This window comes from Homo sapiens, chromosome 12, assembly GCF_000001405.40.
Source record: "Homo sapiens chromosome 12, GRCh38.p14 Primary Assembly".
Classification (NCBI taxonomy): domain Eukaryota; kingdom Metazoa; phylum Chordata; class Mammalia; order Primates; family Hominidae; genus Homo; species Homo sapiens.
In genome coordinates, this window is record NC_000012.12 from 19,306,237 (window position 1) to 19,326,475 (window position 20,239).

Consider the following 20,239-nt stretch of genomic DNA (forward strand, 5'->3'; position numbering starts at 1 on the left):
TATTACCTAAGTGTATTTCCGAGATGTTGCCACGTATGTTTTCTTATTTACAGCTAGAGTTAATTATGAAAATTGTGGGGTTGGAGGCGAGGTGGGGGTGGCCGTTTGTTTTCTCGTGCTCTCCAACTAGCGTGCTCTCTTCCCCTCCCCCGCGGCGTGCAGTGGGGTAGAGAAAAGGTGGCGACGGCGACTGGAGCAGCAGAGGCTGTAGCATCGGATACCCACCTCCCACGAACCGGTTCCTCTTCCCCCTCCTTGCTGTGTGTTTGATGTGTTGAAGCAGGAGGGAGAACGCCGCGAGCAGCGCCGTGAGCAACACTACCATCGTCCCCAGCACTGCGGATCCGGGCCCTAGCGGCGGGCCCAGTAGCGGAGGTGGTGGCGGCGGTGGAGGCGGCGGCATCGAGGTAATAGGTGACTGATCTCCCCGGGCGCTAGCTCTGAGCAGATGCGGACTCTCTTCGGTTTCCTAGGCAAGATCGACGAACCACACCTCTTCCCGCCGGATAATTCACCTTTGCCAATCGCAATCTCGTTAAATTCCATGATCCAGACTCAGCAGTTGTCGCACCATGTCTGACAAACACTGTATTCCTTGACAGAGCTTTGATAACGTACCATATGCAGAAGGAGTTATTCCTGATAAGGCTAAGGCTTGTCTCTGTTGGCACCAGCTAATGCAATGGCAGGTCTTCTGCTTGGTGTTGGGCTCCTGCCTACTCCTAACCCACTTACTCAGACTGGCGCTGTTCCACCGGCTGCTTTGGGGGCTCCTACTCTTGTTCCTGCCCTTGCTGCGCTTGGGCTTCCTGGAGCAAACTTGAACTCAATCTGTTGCCACAGATAGTTGCTGAAGCTTATGAGCACTGTTGGTCCCAAGTTGAAGCATGTAGCTGCTGGTCTTGTTTCACCAAGTCTGAAATCGGATACCTCTAGTAAAGAAATAGAGAAAGGGGCCCCACATGGTGGCTCAGGCCAGTAATCCCAGAGCTTTGGGAGGCTGAGGAGGGTGGATCACTTGAGGTCAGGAGTTCGAGACCAACCTGACCAACATGGTGAAACCTTGTCTCTACTAAAAATTCAAAATTAGCCGGGCATGGTGGCGCATGCCTGTAATCCCAAATACTTAGGAGGCTGAGGCAGGAGAATCGCCTGAATCCTGGAGGCGGAGGTTGCAGTGAGCCGAGATTGTGCCATTGCACTCCAGCCTGGGCAACGAGCACAAAACTCTTGGCTCAAAAAAAAATAGAGGAAGCTATGAAAAGAGTACAAGAAGCACACTGCCTAATTTCGGCTGCTATAGAACCAGAGAAAGAAAAAAGAAGGCATTCAAGATCACATTCTAGGAGGAGGAGGACTCTCATCTTCTAGACACAGTCAAGGAGCAGATCAAGAGAGTGATTACATTGTCAGTCTAGGAGTCGTTGATGATTCAAAAGCCCAAGACAGAGAAGATCTCATTCCAGAGAGAGAGGCAGAAGGTCAAGGAGCACATCAAAAACGAGAGACAGAAAGAAAGAAGACAAAAGAAACATTCAAAAACACCCCCAGAAAGTTACAGCACGGCTAGACATTATAGAAGTACAAACAGAGAGACAACAACGAAGAAGCAGGAGTGGAACAAGATCTCCTAAAAAGTCTCGGTGTCCTAAAAGAAAATTGTCTCTCTCACCATCCCCTGGGAAACATAAAAAGAAGAAGAAAGATAAAGAGAGAAATAGGTATGAAAGAGAACGATCAACAAGCAAGAAGAAGAGTAAAGATAGGGAAAAGGACCAGGAAAGAAAATCAGAGAGTGATACAGATGTAAAAGTTACACGGGTTTATGATGAAGAGGAACAAGGGTATGACAGTGAGAGAGAGGAAAAAAAGAGAAGAAAGCAATAGAAGCAGATTCCCCTAAAACAAAGAAACGTTCTGTGGAAAAGGGAACTGGTGATTCACTAGGAGAACCCATAGTGAATGGGAATGATCATCATGAAGAAGACATGGATATGAGTGACTGAATATTGCCTCTATGGGAATCCAGCTGTATACATGCATCAGTGTCATTGCTTTGTGTGATTTCTGAATGTTGTATTTGTTCATCTCAACCCTAGATGTATATAGCTCTGAGTTATTAATGGTTATAAAGCTCTTGTTATTGATATTACCTATTTACATCAAAAAGCTTTTAGAAAATGGTATGATGTAAGCAATTCTTGTCATGGTGAAATCTGATGGTGTAACCCGTTTTACTATTGGCGCTGCTTCATAACAAAAATGAAAAGCTATATACATCTACAGCCAGAATGGATTGTTTATGTCATATAATTTCCTTTACTAAGTTCACTTACATTACTTACAGAGTTTTATTCATTGCCATAATAGAGCCATGTAGGAAATGCACTGACTGCATGTTATTGTGGCAAGAATATCCTAAATGTCATTAAAATCCTCCAACATGATGGATCTCCTTATGGTCTTGTTTGTTGACATGCCAAATTAACATAGTTCCATCTGGAAATGAGCATTTGAAATGATAATCCGGCTGGGCACAGTGGCTCACCCCTGTAATTTTAGCACTTTGGGAGGCCGAAGGGGGGCAGATCACCTGAGGTAAGGAGTTCCAGACCAGCCTGGCTAACATGGCGAAACCTTGTCTCTACTAAAACACAAACGCACACACACACAAAATTAGCCAGGCATGGTGGTGCATGCCTGTAATCCCAGCTACTCCAGATTCTGAGGCAGGAGAATCACTTGAACCCAGGAGGCAGAGTTTGCAGTGAGCCGAGATTGCGCTACTGCACTCTAGCCTAGGCGACAGAGCAAGACTCCATCTCAAAAAAAAAGAAAAAAAGAGAAAAGAAATAGATAATTTTTTAAGCCTTGTAGCAAAATTTTTGTGATTTTGGTTTAACTTTGGACGGTTATTATGCACTAACCTTTTTTGATGGCTAATTAGGGTTTAATTACAGAAACAAGGTTTCAAGTAAAACTGTCTTTGGCAGTGAACAAATAGTATATTTTGAAGTAGAGTTGTATAGTTTTTCATAAGATGTTTGGGAATTTTTTTTCCTGAAATAATTTATTCCACATCTACATCAGTGAAAGCTGTCTACCTATCCTGAGTCCATCTTAAAGAAAAAAAAAACTCATCTCTTGCCCTTATTTTGAATTTTCCACTCTTTCATTAATTTATTTGTTTTAAACTCTGTTGGAAATTGACCTTCATATGCTTTTAAAATAAGACAAATCTGGGTGTAGTGGCTCACACCTGTAATCCCAACACTTTGGGAGGCCGAGGCGGGCGGATCCCCTGAGGTCAGGTGATCGAGATCAGCCTGGCCAACATGGTGAAACCCCGTCTTTACTAAAAATAGAAAAATTACTGGTAGGCGCCTGTAATCCCAGCTACTCGGGAGTCTGAGGCAGGAGAACACTTGAACCCGGGAGGTGGAGGTTGCAGTGAGCCTAGATCGTGCCACTGCACTCCAGCCTGGGCGACAGAGTGAGACTCTGTCTCAAAAAAAAAAATAATAAAATCTCAAGTTGTATAAAACCGATACATTTGTGTTACTGCAGTAGTATTCTTAGGCACACAGTGATTTCATGTTATATATGCAAAGTAGTTAGGCAACTGCTTTCTTTGTTACAGACATTTCAAGCTCCACTATGTGCAGTAAAAACAAAAGTAGGCTACAGTCTGTGCCATGTTGATGTACAATTTCGAAATTATTTTACAAGACTTTGATAATAAAACCCTTTAACTTAAAAAGAAAAGAAAATTGTGTAATGCCTGAATCATACATTTTCATTCCTATTATTATGAAATAATCTGCCTTTTATAATAGCTTTATAATTTAGCAATTAAATGTAAATCTGTATTACCTGTTACTTCAAAGAAGGAATTAAAGTAAGAAGCAAAGCATTTAACTCATTTCAAGTGAATCCTTAAACATCCTACGTGTACTATTTAGTCTTTCCTCTGATTCCTTACACAATATGTAGACTGTTAACACCACTCTTAAAATGGTTTCTTGGATTCTTATATTCAAACCAGAAGTGAATTATATGTATTCTTTATTTATTTATGTATTTATTTTAAGAACTTGAAGGCCAGGCTCATGCCTGTAATCCCAGCACTTTGGGAGGCCGAGGCAGGTGAATCATCTTAGGTCAGGAGTTAGAGACCAGCCTGACCAACATGGTGAAACCCCGTCTCTATTAAAAATACAAAAATTAGCTGAGTGTGGTGGTGGGCACCTGTAATCCCAGCTACTCAGAAGGCTGAGGCAGGAAAATTGCTTGAACTCGGGAGGCAGAGGTTGAAGTGAGCCAAAATGGTGCCATTGCACTCCAGCCTGTGTGACAGAGCGAGACTCCCTCTCAAAAAAAAAAAAAAAAAAGAATGCAGGCTAGGCACAGTAGCTCTCGCCTATAATCCCAGCACTTTGGGAAGCCAAGGCGGGCGGATTGCTTTGAGCTCAGAACTTCAAGACCAGCCTGGGAAACATGGCAAAACCCCATCTCCACAAAAATTAGCTGGGCGTGGTTTTTTGTTTTTTTGTTTTTTTGGTTTCCCAGTGCCTGTAAAAGTAATGATTATACTGTATTCTGTTAAATGTGCAATAGCATTATGTCTAAGAAAAAAAATCCTGTATTGCTAAAAAACACTAATGATCATCTGAGCCTTCAGCAAGTCCTAATCTTTTTGCTAGTGGAAGGTCTTGCCTTGATGTTGATGCTTGCTAACTGATCAGGGTGGTGGTTGCTGAAGGTTGGGATAGCTGTGGCAGTTCCTTAAAATAAGACAACAGTGAAGTTTGTTACATCAATTGACTCTTCTTTTCACGAAAACATTTCTCTGTAGCATGCAGTGGTGTTTGAGAACATATTGCCCGTCGTAGAACCTCTTTCAGAATTGGAGTGGGGTCGGGCATGGTGTCTCATGCCTGTCACTTTGGAAGGATAAGGTGGGAGGCTTGCATGAGGCCAGGAGTTTGAGACCAGCCTTGGCAACATACCAAGACCCTGTCTCTGCAAAAAAAAAAAAAAAAATTTTTAATCAGCCAGGATTAAAAATGTACTTGCCTATAGTCCCAGCTACTTGGGAGGCTGAAGCGGCAGGATCGCTTGAGCCCAGGAGAGGAGGTCAAGGCTGCAGTGAGCTGTGATTACTCCACTGCACTCCAGTCTGGGCAACAGAGCAAAACTCTGTCTCGAAAAATTAAAAAAAAAAAAAAAAGTAAAATTGAACTGAATCCTCTCAAACTCTGCTGCTGCTTTATCAACCAAGTTTATATATTCTAAATGCTTTGTTGTCAACAATGTTCACAGTACCTTCACCAGGAGTAGATTTTATCTCAAGAAACTACTTTCTTTGCTCATCCATAAGATGCAGTTCCTCATCCACTCAAGTTTTAGTATGAGATTGAAGCAATTCGCTCACATCTTCAGGCTTCACTTCTGATTCTTTTTATTTCCACCACATCTGCAGTTCCTTCCTCCACTGAAGTTCTAAACCCCTCAACCTCATTCATGAGAGTTGGAACCAGTGTTTTCAAACTTCTGTTAATGTTGCTATTTTGACCTCCTCTCTTAAATCACAAATATCTAGTATCCAGAATGGTGAATTCTTTCCAGAAGTTTCTTCTTTAATTCACCCATATCCATCAGAAGAATCACTATCTGTAGCAGCTAGAGCCTTATGAAATGCATTTCCTAAATAATAGTAATTGAAAGTTGAAATGACTCCTTGATCCATGGGCTGCAGAATGGATGTTATGTTAACAGTCGTGAAAACCACATTCATCCACTTACATGTTTCCATCAGAGCTCTTGGGTAACTAGGTTCATTGTCAGTGGGCACTCATATTTTGAAAGGAATCTTTCTTTCTGAGCATTAGTTCTCAACAGTGGATTTAAGATATTCAGTAAACCATGCTGTAAACAGATGTGCTATCATCCAGGCTTTGTTCCTTTTTTGGAGCATAAGCAAAGTAGATTTAACATCAGGATTTTCACAATAGTAAATGAGCATCAGCTTCAGCTTGAATTACCAGCTGCATTATCCCCAAACAAGAGTGTCATCCTATTTGAAGCTTTGGAGCCAGGCATTGACTTTCCCTCTCTAGCTATGAAAGTCCTAGGTGGCATCTGATTCCCATACAAGGCTATTTCGTCTACATTGAAAATCTATCATTGAATTCAGCCACCTTCTTCAGTTATCTTAGCTAGATCTTCTGAATAACTTGCTGCAGCTTCTCCATCAGCACCTGCTGCTTCACCTTGCACTTACATGTTATGGAGATGGCTTCTTTCCATAAACCTCATGAACCAAACTGCCAGCTTCCAAGTTTCCTTCTGCAGCTTCCTCATCTCTCTCAACCTTCATAGGATTGAAGAGAGTTAGGGCCTTGCTCTGGAATAGGCTTTGGCTTAAGGGAATGTTGTGACTGTTTGATCTTCTCTTCAGACCACTAAAACTTTCTCCCTATTAGCAGCAAGGCTGTTTTGCTTTCTTATCATTTGTATGTTGACTGGAGTAGCACTTATAATTTCTTTCAACAACTTGTTTCTTTGCCTTCTCAACTTGGGTAAATGTTTACCACAAGAGGTCTAGTTTTCGGCCTGTCTCAGCTTTTCCACATGCCTTCCTCACTAACCTTAATCATTTCTAGCTTTTGATTTAAAGTGATAAGCATGCAAGTCTTCCTTTCACTTGCACTGTTAGAAGCCATTGTAGGGTTATTAATTGGCCTGATTTCAATATTGTTGTGTCTCGAGGAATAGGCAGGCCCAAGGAAAGGAAGAGAGATGGGATAACGGCTGGTCAGTGAAACAGAACACACAACCTTTATCGATTTCATCATCTCTTATGAGCGAGGTTCCTGGCTCCCCCAAAACAATTATAAAGGATGAGCCAGGAGGATTGCTTGAGCCCAGGAGTTCAAGACCAGCCTGGGCAACATAATGAGGCCCCTGTCTCTACAAAAAATAAAAAATTAGCTGGGCATGGTGGCATGTGCCTGTAGTCCTAGCTATGCGAGAGGCTGATGTGGGAGGATCGCCTAAGCCTAGGAGTTTGAGGCTGCAGTGAGCCATGATAGGGCCACTGCATTCCAATCTGGGCAACAGATCACCGTAACACTTAAGAATTTTTTGTTTAACTGATGTGTTGTTCCAAATACCTTTACATGTAATTATTAAGTTTGACAAAATTAATTTATTAATTAATCAGGTTGGTGGTAAAGTAACATGAGGGAACTACCTGGGTAGATGGAAACATTCTGTATGTTTTGATTGTTACATATGTGAATACTTTTGTCAAAAGTCGTTGATGTATAACTAAAATTTGTCAATTTATTCTTCAGTGAAGTTTTTTTTTTAATATCCTCACTTCCAAAAAGCAGTTGTAGGCACAGAGATTTAAAAATAAATGGTCTAGTCTGAATGAAATTTTTAATTGGGATATTGTTAAAAGACAAACATGTGTTTCATTATCACTTAACTGACTAAAAAGTAGATTAAACCAGTCACAGGAGGTTTCTAATTTGATAACTAAACAAATTTTATTGGCAATTAGACTGAAAATATAATTGTCTAGAAAAAGAGTTTTAAGATTTAGTTTTTTCTTACATTATATTAATAAATTTATTAATTTTGAGATTAATGAACTTTTGTTGTAGACTTAGCTGAACCAGTAAAGTAGCATTTGTCAACCACGATAGAAATGCTTATTTTCTGTATATGAAAGATGAAAATTAAGCGTTACAAATTACCATTATAAACAGACCTGTCGACTTACAAATGGTAAAGCTTTCTTGGCCTTTTACTATATACATCATGATGGTCTTTTGAGTGCTTTAACTCAAGTACAGAGCCTGCTAAAACAAATATTTTTCTAGAGGCAGTAATTAAGTACAACATAGCTGGAAATGTTAAGCTTGGTTTCAGACTACCTTTTTAGAAGCTAAGGAGACATACCAAGTCTTTGCTGAATAAGTCTTAGTTTGCATATCCTTGAGTAATTCTACATGTGGTATTATACTGTGAGAAAATCCAAAATAGAGTCTCTATAAATGTCAAGATTACCTTTAATAAAATATGTGATTAAGTGACACATTCAGTATATTATATTTTAATACTTGTAGAGAACTAATTTTTTATAACCTTACACAGAACTGAATATCATTTTCAGCTTTATTACTGAATTCATAATCAAATTGTACCATTTTTCTCCTGATTGTGTAGGTTCTCACCCTTTAGTTTACCCTTTGAATTATGATTTATCATCTATTTTATTATATGTAGAAATATTCATTAATTGACTATATCATGATTATATGTATGAAGTAAAACTAGTTGTGACAGTGTTGCAATTAGTAGTTTTTTCTTGGAAGTATTTCACAGCGTTTAATACTTGTTTGAAATGGTTTATATGAATTAAATCTGTACAACCATGGGGTAAAATGTAAACAACTGCACTATTAGGAAGATATTAAAGTAGAGGCTATATTTACAGTGTCGTCTTTCAAATCTAGCTATGCTGTAAACTGATGTTTGCTGTATGCTCCTCCTGATTTGAAATAGATGAAAGAAAATGAACCTATTATCACCATGGTTCACACAATGATTGAGAACTCGGCGCTAAGACCCCAACTGTACCAGCAAGTAAGGTCTTGGACAGTGAATGATACTGCTTTATCATCTGCAAAATCCCTCAGTGACAGTTTTGATTTATTCTCAGATTTACTCATGACATCAGTGTTTTTCTTATTTTATTTTTTGTTTATGTTTATTTGGAAAACCACAATTCATCCATGCTTTTCAAGATGCTGCAGTATTCTTAGCATGGCTTCGCTGAACATTTTGCTGTTGAATATTAAATGTGCCATTTTCCTAAAGTTTTTGTGCAGAGTATTTGATTGATATGTACTTGGAGGTCTGCAGTACATTTGCAAAATTACTAGATTTTCATATGGTTTTATTAACTTTAAAAGCATTATACCTATTTTTTAGGGAAAAGGCTTTGTAAAAATATTTACTTTCAGGGGTTGCCCTCCACAACTTCCCCCAACCTAGTGTTTTAAGAATACATTATATTTGTATGGGCGTTATTTAAATCTAGTTTCTGTACTATGGTATGGTAAAACTTAAAGATAGCCACTTTTTAACATACTGGGGGTATTTTGTCGCTGTATTCTTACCATTCTCAAGCAGTCGTCAAGACTATCATAAGTTACCCTATTGTTTTTCCTTATTCAAAATGTGTGTCATGGAGTTGGCTGGCTTTAACTTAGGAACCTTAGTAATCTGCAGATCTGCAAAAGAAGTCATATGTTTCTATCAAATTTTTGTGTATCTCATGGTCTAAATGTTTCTAGCTATGTGTTTCTCAACATCAGCTTCTTTCACTTCAACACCCTCAAATTACTCTGGCGTATGACCTTTACAATCTTTAAAAATCATGCAGAAGAAGAAAATTAACTAACATGAAAAATGAATATATATTTTGATTTAAATATATAAGGCACCTAGTAAAAAGAACGACTTTGAGCTCATGCTGGCTTTTAAGGCCTCTATTTGGTTCAGTTGCCATGGGATCTGCATCACAGGGCCATGTAACTGAGGAATGGATACAATTGATCAGAGGGTGACTTATATTTCAGCACAGTTTTCAAAATATTTAAAGTATATTATTAGATGACTGAAAATAGTCTCAAATTTGCAATAAAGAGATTAACAAACTATTAAATATTTAAAGTTAAACAGCTTTACTTATCAAAAGAAAATGGAATCTTTCAATTCTTAAAGTCACCAGATTATAGACCTTGGTACTCTATTCCAAAGTACCACACCGAGAGTATTTGGAATAAGTATTATTCCGAATAAGTATTATTCCAAAACTGATACCTTCTGCAGTGTCTGAAGCTGTCAGTAAAATATATCATCTATAAGATGCTAAATTGACATGAGATCAAAGGGATTTTGTTGTAATAGGTTATGTTTTTATCACATTTTGCATATTTTAGATGAGAATGGTAGCCTGGATTTCAAATCTGTTTGGTTTGGTTGGGTTTTTTTTTATAATGCTCAACATTCATGGTTCAGGATGCGGAAGTCTGATAGTTTAAATTATTTGGTTGCATTAAAAGTTCTAATTGGGGTTTTCCCAAAGTGTGGAGATCTGAAATGGGAAGGGCTGAGGGGGGGGAAAGTGAAGATGTCTGAGACTGGCACATTATAGCATCACTGACCTTGAATACCGAAAGAGCAATAGATTTGTATAAATATTTCTTTATATTAATATGTGAAAGAAAACTAAAATTGTATAGAACAGAAAGATCTGAATGTCTAATGTCAGCAGCCTTGCCTGGGCATGGCTGAGTCACCAGTTACCAGGAAATCAGTGTTAACTCTCAGTGCTGTTAAGGCTAGGGAGTCTTCAGACTGTCTTATTTTTATTCAGCCACTAGTAAAGGACTTAATTATTAAGCAGGGCATCCTTAATAGATTAAAGTGACAGCCCGACACATTTTTTAAACTGTGTTTATAAATTTGCACAAACTGAAATTATATTTTATTTTTCTCCAGGTTTCCCTCATCATGTTATTATCCAGGGAAAATGTACTGCTACAGTTTGCTTTTCTGAAGTTGAATGACAGTGTTTTATTAATAAGTTATTGATATTTAGCTAGAAATACAATGGCAAAATGTTTTATAACCTATTTTATTCTGAATCATAGCCACTCAGTTTTTGGAAATGTTTGCATTTTTCTTCCTTGGAGAACACTCAAGAAATTACCTAGGCAGTAATTTTCTTAAAATTGGTCAATTAAAAAAGACTTAAAACTGAATCCAGGCTTGTCGAGGTGGCTTATGCCTGTAATCCCAACAATTTATGAGGCCAAAGCTGAAGGATCGCTTGAGGCCAGGAGTTTGAGACTAGCCTGGGCAACAAAGCAAGACCCTGTCTCTGCAAAATATAAAAAAATTAGCCAGGCATGGTGGCACACACCTATAGTCCTAGCTACTCAGGAGGCTGAGACAGGAGTCCGAAGCTGCAATGAACTGTGATTACGATTACACCACTGTGCTCTAGCCTGGTGGGTGACAGAATGAGATACTATCTCTTTTTTTTTTTTTTTAAGCATTCTGTATTCTACACCACCTTTCACAGTTACATTTTAGGACCATAGTTTTTATAACATGATTAATACCAGTGAAATTAATCACCTGATAAGTAATTTGTCCTAAAAGATGCAATATCAACAAATGCCTATAGTCCTATGAGCATTTTTTTTGCCATCTGTGGATATAATGTCTAATTTTATCAAATTTTAAAATATTTCCCCAAAACTCCTTTTTGGAGTTTATGTATCATGTTCATATACTCTAAAATATATATAGTCCACATACCTAAGGGATATTGAAGTTGAATTTTAATTAACATATGTAACTTTGTTTTAATGCCAAGACAGTTTATAAAAAAAAAAAGTATCAGATACTTTAAATGGTTCCGACATCCTAAATAAAATATAACACATGTCCTTATGTAGTTAATAAAATCCATATAACACACTCCTCAACCTGAAGTTGGAGCACTGCACAAGTTTATGTAATTACTACATAGCCCATTTTTTCATTTGCTTTTCTAGTGTTGCTAAGGTACTTCGAATGAAGTATTCAAACCAAACCTTTTTTTTTTTTTTTTTTTTTTTTGGCTAAAGGTGTATTTGAAAAAAATGATAAACAGTGTTACCATGAACTTAAATTAACCAGAATGCTCATGAAATTTACTTTTCTTTTTTTTCGGTAGGGCCAGGGGTTGGGATGAGGAGTCAGGATTTTCATGTTGAGGACAAAATAGCAACCTTTTCAATTCTATGAAGGCGTTTTTTGTTTGTTTAAGGAAAAATTTTGTTTTCTTATGCTTTTATTCTGTCATAAAAGCAATGTGTGGGGAGAGGTTTAAGGATTTGGTTAGTTGATGTCTAATGAATATCTTTATTGAATAACTTGATAAAAGATTTCAAGAAAAATTTCGGTGGTACTAAAAGTAGAAATACCACAAAAATCTGATTGATATGTATAATATATTTATATGGCTATAAAGGATATATCGCTCTAAAGTTGTAACTACAGTAGACATTTTTCTCTATTATGATATGCTAACTGATGTAAAAATAAATCTGCAATAAGATTCCCCAAATAAAAATAGTATATCAATATCCTAAAGATTTACTATAAATTAGTAAGTTTTCACTTTAATATACTAATGTTTTTTTCTGTTGACTCTGAGATATAGGGTACATTTGATATTTTAATCTAGATGAAACACTGTCTGCTAGTTATATTCAGATTCTGTAATCTAGTAAAGCTGTTTTGCATTTAACTTTAAATATTAAGCAAACTACGGCTGGGCGTGGTGGCTCACGCCTATAATCCCAGCACTTTGGGAGGCCAAGATGGGAGGATCACTTGAGGTCAGGAGTTCCAGACCAGCCTGGCCAACATGGTGAAACCCCGTCTCTATTAAAAATACAAAAATCAGCCAGGCATGATGGTGCACGTATAATCCCAGCTACTCTGGAGGCTGAGGCAAAAGAATCACTTGAACCCTGGAGGCAGAGGTTGCAATGAGCCGAGATCGCACCACTGCACTCCAGGCTGGGCAATAACGAGACTCCATCTCAAAAAATAAATAAATATTAAGCAAACTATATTTGAACATCTTAGTAGCTTATGACTTTTCATCTTTAATTTGTTATAAATATGAAAATGGAATTTTGGCATTGTCTTACTTTTTTTATCATAGATCTACCTATTTAAAACTTACTTCATATTACTTTTTTTCCAGATAGGAATATAAATTATTTTCTTGGATCTAGGTGCTTTAATTTACAATGACAGTTGACACTTCTCAGGACACACCTGAGGATACTTATTTTGAATAGTATAAGAGTATTCTAACTTTTGTCATTAAATTCATTTTTCATGTAATATTCATTCCTATGAAAGTTTTGTGGTTTAACAATCACTGCATACCCTTAAATAGTCACAGATTCATTTGCATGAGGTATGTGAAAGTAATGTCTTGAAATGAAATATAAATCCAGGATTTATTGTATGTTTGGAATGCTTATATTTTTAACCTTCTCCTGATTCCCACATTTCTAGATCAATTCAAAGTTATCTCCTGTTTAAATGATGCTTCCTTTTAAAGCTGTAACTGTCAAGCAGTTTCTTTCATAGAGAAAACATATAGAATTGTCATTTATACATTCTTATGTATTATGCGTATATGAAATTTAATTTTTTAAACTGGAATGTAATTGGGACACATTACTTCTAACCCCACCTTGAAAACATTGTGCCATTTAGTAAACATGCAATGAGCCCCATTTAAATTTTTTCTACTGTGTTTTTGTTATTTTCTCACAGTCAATATAAAAATCAAAAGACAAGAAAAATAGTGAAGTATTGCCTGCAGAGGCTGTGATGTTATCTGTGGTATAACTGACTGGGATGGCTATTGAAATCTTGCTAAGCACAATCAGAAGTAACCAAAATATCTTTTAACCAAAATGTACTGGGCAGAAGCTGAAGAAAGGATATTTAAGTACACTGAATAATTCCTTACAATATAGTAACATAAATGGAGTCAACTAACACACATAAACTTTTTATGAAATTTGACTATCCATAGTTTATAACATAGGCTTTCAGTTTTATAAGATTTCGAATGATTTTCCTCTTTTCAATTAAACCCATCCTTTTCCTTCATTATCTTTTAGTTCTTAAGACAGAAGAGCAAGATAAGTCTATATTGTGTATGTGTGTTTATATATTATATATATGTATACAATATGTTATAGGTTTTGTTAAGATGTGTTGACATTTGAGTGTACACATACACAGTGTGTGTTTATGTATATACCGTGAAGGATGGTTTTGGCTGTTGAACTATGCTTAATTTAAGTATTTGATTTGACACAGTTGCTACGATTGTATTTGTCAGTTTTTTTATTAAAATAATGTGTGTCTTTAAAAGAAATGATGTAAGATACTGTATTAGTTTTGTTTGACCAGCATATTATTATGTTTAACAAGCTTGTTACATACATCGTTCGTATGTATCTTGCATATTATATCACTGTTAAGTATTTTCTACTTTGTTGATCAGTGTTTGAATTAAACTTCTAAAAGTGTAAGAATCATTAAAATCTATTTTTGTTATGTTATATATATTTAATATAAATCCAAAGTATTAATTAATAGGGTAAATATATTTTTAAATAAGATTTTTTAAGTTGCTATATGATTTTTTTCTTATAGCTGTCACAAGATGAAGGTAGAGGCACATTATACAAATACAGACCTGAAGAAGTAGATATTGATGTAAGTATTAGTATGATATATGTGGTCAGTACTCTGTCGTATTCTCCGCCAAAAACACTGGAAATAAGCATGACCAAAAAACTTCTTTCTCCCAAGTCCTCCAAAGTGACATCAGGTAAATTCATATTTTATGTGTGTGCTCTAAATTATTATTCCCTGCCCTCTACGTCCCACTGCTCCCTATTGTTAGCAGTCCAACGTTATTAAGCATCACTTAAATGAAAGTAAAAACTGTTTCTGATTTTTAGAAGTTACAGATTGGCTGGACACGGTGGCCCACACCTTTAATCCCAGCACTTTGGGAAGCCGAGGCGGGCGGATCAGTTGAGGCCAGGAGTTTGAGACCAGCCTGGGCAACATAGCAAGACCCTGTCTCTACTAAAAATACAAAAATTAGCTGGGCATGGTGGTACACGCTTGTAATCCCAGCTACTCGGGAGTCTGAGGCCTGAGAATCTCTTGAACCCAGGAGGGACAGGTGCAGTGAGCCAAGATCATTCCACTGCACTCTAGCCTGGGTTATGGCGTGAGACCCTGCCTCAAAAAAAAAAAAAAGTTATGGAAGACTAGAGACTGGAGACGAATTGCTGTGTTTTTCAGATAAAGTTCGGCCTTTAGAAATTTTATCACTACTCCTTTTTAAATTTAGTTTCTTTTAAATCATATTTTAGATTGCTGATTTGCCATACATTCTTCACTCATTATACCCCCTTTTCTTTTCTTTTCTTTTCTTTTCTTTTTTTTTTTTTTTTTTTTTGAGTCAGGGTCTCTCTCTGTCACCCGGGTTGGAGTGCAGTGTCATGATCTCAACTCACTGCAACCTCCACCTCCCGGGTTCAAGTGATTCTTATGCCTCAGACACCCAAATAGCTGGGATCACGGGAGCATGCCACCATGCCCAGCTAACTTTTTGTATTTTTTTTTTTTTTTAGTAGACAGGGTTTTGCCATGTTAGCCAGGCTGGTCTCGACCTCCTGACCTCAGGTCATCCACCCACCTTGGCCTCCCAAAGTGCAGAGATACGGGGGTGAGCCACCGAGCCCAGCCCCCTACTTTTTCTTTTTAACACCTTTCATTTTGTGTAGGCTGAGTCTTGTTGTCTGACAAAGATAAGGTAGTTATTTTAATAGATAAATGGCAAAGAAAGTAAAGTCTCAAATTTCTTGCTTATGTGTCATTATGCCATAAAGTTGGGGACATATTTCCAATTTGTCCAGTGTTTTCATTTTGAAACATTAAAACTGGTTTATTGTACTATTGAAATTTTATTAGAATACTTTCTTGTACTTTCATAATTAAGAAATTAGGGTAATATTAAGAATTTAAACACTAAAACCCTGATGAAAGTTATTTTTCTCCATTAATAATATTTTTATTTGTATTTCAATTAGAAGTGATCTATTGTTTATATTATTTTCTAAGAATCTAAGAGTGTGTTTTTTAAACATATAACAATAGAATCCAGTAAGCATTTTAATTAAGGACTGCATATTATCACTTAACCTATTTAGCAGATTGTAGAGGCAAAATGCTTGCATGCCTATTTTTTAAGGATTCTATCTTTGTAAGCTATATTTTAACTTTTATTGATTGAAATATAGATTTTTGGTCATATAATGACTGCCTACCTCCAATTACAGAAAAAATAAAAAATTGCTAACAAGACATCTTCTCTTATAACCTAGGCCAAGTTAAGCCGATTATGTGAACAAGATAAAGTGGTGCATGCTCTGGAAGAGAAACTTCAGCAACTCCACAAGGAGAAAGTAGGACAATTATGTTTATTGTCTACAATTGATGTTACTTAATATGATTATTATCAGGACACTGATAAGTAAAAAGAATTAATACAATGATGCAGAACATTAAGTGTAATTCTTTTTATCATAATAGTACACGCTTGAGCAAGCTTTGCTATCAGCCAGCCAAGAGATAGAAATGCATGCAGATAACCCAGCAGCCATTCAGACAGTGGTGTTACAAAGGGATGATTTACAAAATGGACTGCTTAGTACGTGTCGAGAACTTTCTCGAGCCACTGCCGTAAGTAGATTTTTTTTTTCCCCTAATAAAAGTAGCTTAAATATGTAGTTCTATTTTCTTCTCTTTTTTTTAATACTGGGCTCTCTTTAGGATTCTTCTATATTATTATAGCAGAAAATATTAATTTGTTATTAGTGTGCTTCTGTTTAGGAACATAAAATTAAAAGATTATTTAATTAGTGGGCATTCTGTTATTTACTTATGAGACAAGGTCTCACTCTGTCACCCAGGCTGGAGTACAGTATTTTGACTATAACTCACTTGTAGCCTGAATCTCTTGGACTCAAGTGAGTGCTTCAGCCTCCCAAGTAGCTGGGACTACAGGCTGGCACTACTACACCTGGCTAGATTTTTTTTTTTTTTTTTTTTTTTTTTCATAGAAATGGGGCCTCACTATGTTGCCCAGACTGGTCTCAAACTCCTGGTCTCAAGTGATTCTCCTGGCTTGGCCTGCCAAAGTGCTGCGATTACAGGTGTAAGCCACCACACCCAGCCAAACATTTTGTCCTTTGTGAAATGAGTGTTTTACAGGGGAGATGAGTACTCCTGTTTATTGCATTAAGAAAATAAGTAGTCTGGATGTGGTGGCTCACTCCTGTAATACTAGCACTTTGGGAGGCCAAGGTGGGTGGATCACCTGAAGTCAGGAGTTCAAGACCAGCCTGACCAGCATGGTGAAAACCCATCTCTACTAAAAATACAAAATTAGCCAGGTGTGGTGGCATGCACCTGTAATGAGGCAGGAGAATCATCTGAGCCCGGGAGGCAGAGGTTGCAGTGAGCTGAGATCGCGCCATTACGTTCCAGCCTGGGCAACAAGACTGAAACTCTGTCTCAATCAATCAATCAATAGAAATATAAATAGCAAGGCTGGGTGCGGTGGCTGACACCGTAATCCCAGGACTTTGGGAGGCCGAGGCAGGTGGATCACTTGAGGTCAGGAGTTTGAGACTAGCCTGGCCAACATGGTGAAACCTCGTCTCTACCAAAATACAAAAATTAGCTGGGTGTGGTGGCAGGTGCCTGTAATCCTAGCTACTTGGGAGGCTGAGGCACGAGAATTGCTTGAACCTAGGAGGCAGAGGTTGCAGTGAGCCAAGATCATGCCATTGCACTCCAGCCTGGGCAACAGAGTGAGACTCTGTTTCAAAAAAAAAAAAAAAAAGAAAGAAATGTACGTAACAGAACCGTGTAACTCATAGTCATATAACTATGACTGTGAGTCTCTTGGAATTACCAAATCTAAAAGTCTTAACTTGCAGCTTATAAACTGTTTTATGAGTTTAAACAGCTGGCTTTAGGTCCTATGATGTGGTCATCTCTATAAACATAGTAAGAGCACCAGTCTAAGCAGCTCTTTGAAAGAGAAATCTTAGGAAAAACTGCCATGTTATATAAAACTGCTCCCAAACCCTTGTCTGTACCTTCAATGGGCTAGGGAGCAGCTATCTTTTAAGAAGGGCCACAGACAGTATAGCTTAATTTAGAGGAGTCTTTCCAGGCTGGCAAGATCCCAGAATCTCAACTTGGCTTCTATTCTGAACCCTGAATTCCAAACGTGAGCCATTTTTAAAGGAATATACCATGATTTTAAAATCACTGAAAACTTAGTTTGAGGAATTCTTAAATACCTTACATTTCTATTTCCATTTTTAAAATACTGTTATTTCTGTTGTCTCATTTGAGTCTTAATTATATTGTCATGTTTGTAGACTTTTTTGAAATTTAATATCCTTTCCATTGTGAGTATCTTGAAATAAGAAACTATGTCTCATTCACATTGGATGAATGATTGAGCTGAATGACTTACCCAAGGTTACAAAGCTAATAAATAATATACCTAAAACTCAAATCCAGATCTTCTTACCACATTTCTGAAGATTTAGATCTACATGGATTTCTGTAATATAGTCATAAAGAAAATATAAGCACCTGAAATACTGTCTACAAGGAAGTAGTACTGAGCTAATCAAGGATAGGTAGGATTTGGATACAATGAGAAGAGAAGTGAAGAGTGGTTTATTCAAATAATACAAAACACCCTAAGCCACAGCAAAGATGAGAACATAGGAGACATGTTTGGAAAAGGAGGAAATAGAACTAACAGCCTGACTGGGATAGAGGATTCCTGTGAGAGGATAGAAAATGTGAGATTAGAAAGGGAAAATGGGGTTAAACTGTCAATGCCAAGCTAATGAGAAGCTCAGGGTCTCTGTGACAACTTGAGTCAAATCAAAATGGTAGGCTCTACAGACATTTAGTTGGAAACTATTTAATGATTTGGTATCTGCTCTTGAAATTCCGATTTTAGGGAATCCCTTTCCTTATCAACTGGGATTAATAAATTAAATCTCATCAGTAGGTTTAGAATTTGCTGCATCTCAAGGTTAACTTTAGCCCAGATGGGAAATTTGTTAAAAATATCTTAATAGAAATGAATTTTGCCAGGAGTGCTGGCTCACGCCTGTAATCTCAGTACTTTGGAAGGCTGAGGCAGGAGGATTGCTTGGGCCCAGGAGTTTGAGACCAAACTGGGCAATTTAGGGAGACCCTATCTCTACAAGAAACAAAAAAGTAGCTGGGCATGGTGGTGTACACCTGTGATCCTAGCTACTTAGGAGACTGAGGTGGGAGGATCTCTTGAGCCCAGGAGGTCAAGGTTGTGTGATTGTGCCACTGCACTCCAGCCTGGGTGATAGAGTGATACACTGTCTCTAAAACAAAATCGTTAATAATAGAAGGCCAGGCATGGTGGCTCACGCCTGTAATCCCAGCACTTTGGGAGGCCGAGACGGGCGGATCACAAGGTCAGGAGTTCGAGACCAGACTGGCTGACACGGTGAAACCCCGCCTCTAATAAAAATACAAAAATTAGCCAGGTGTGGGGGCAGATGCCTGTAATCCCAGCTACTCAGGAGGCTGAGGCAGGAGAATTGCTTGAACCCGGGAGGCGGTGGTTGCAGTGAGCCGAGATCGTGCCATTGCACTCCAGCCTGGGCGACAGAGCGAGACTCTGTCTCAAAAAAAAAAAAATAGTAATAATAAATAGAAAATAGGCCAGGCAGGTGCGGTGGCTCAAGCCTGTAATCTTAGCACTTTGGGAGGCCAAGGCAGGCAGATCACCTGCGGCCAGGAGTTCAAACCAGCCTGACCAACATGGAGAAACCCCACCTCTACTAAAAATACAAAATTAGCCAGGCATGGTGGCGCATGCCTGTAATCCCAGCTACTCAGGAGGCTGAGACAGGAGAATCGCTTGAACCCGGGAGGCTGAGGTTGCGGTAAGCCGAGATCACGCCATTGCACTCCGGCCTGGGCAACAAGAGTGAAACTCTGTCTCAAAAAAATAAAATAAATAAAATAAAATAAAATAAATAAAATAGAATAAAATAAAATTTGATCTTGTTTGAGTATCCCTTTTTCTGGTTTTTGTCTTATGTAATCACTTTCCTGGTTTCTTTTTCCTTGCCTTCAACAATAATCAGTGGTTATGACAAACCCTCAGAATATATTCTTCTAAGACAAGTCTTATTGCATAGAATACAAACTATGTTATTTGTGCCTTTATGTAAACTTATTTATATTTGTAGCTTAAGGCTGCAAATGTTAGCATGTGCATAACATCATACTGGGCATATGGTTGGCACTCAGTGAATGTTGATTAGATTTAAATTTGAATTACATTTTTGCTGGCAGAATCTCAAAGGATTTCACTGAATCTTTCACAGTCAGTTCATAGCACTAGTTCAAATCTAAGCCCCAAGCATAAGGGGTATAACATTAGCACCTCTGTAGATCAAAGCTGTGA

At 37.8% G+C, this 20,239-nt stretch overlaps 1 protein-coding gene and 1 pseudogene across 73 annotated transcripts in view; both read left to right on the top strand.

Moving 5' to 3' along the window:
* PLEKHA5 (pleckstrin homology domain containing A5) overlaps nucleotides 1-20,239 on the top strand; it is a 246,668-nt gene that overhangs the window by 176,504 nt on the left and 49,925 nt on the right. For 38 of the 73 annotated variants that reach the window (NR_169821.1, NR_169817.1, XM_011520715.2 and 35 more), the window contains 3 exons: nucleotides 14,326-14,388; nucleotides 16,074-16,154; nucleotides 16,282-16,431. Coding sequence is in view for 67 of the 73 variants with exons in the window: in XM_011520715.2 (XP_011519017.1) it covers nucleotides 14,326-14,388; nucleotides 16,074-16,154; nucleotides 16,282-16,431 (294 nt within the window). In the remaining 6 variants the exon portion in view is untranslated. Of the gene's footprint in view, nucleotides 1-8,528; nucleotides 8,892-13,784; nucleotides 13,821-14,325; nucleotides 14,389-16,073; nucleotides 16,155-16,281; nucleotides 16,432-20,239 lie in introns of those variants that run through there. The other 35 variants (NR_169820.1, NM_001256470.2, NM_001385926.1 and 32 more) reach the window with 7 other exon arrangements.
* Nucleotides 435-2,000, top strand: SRSF11P1 (serine and arginine rich splicing factor 11 pseudogene 1; annotated as a pseudogene).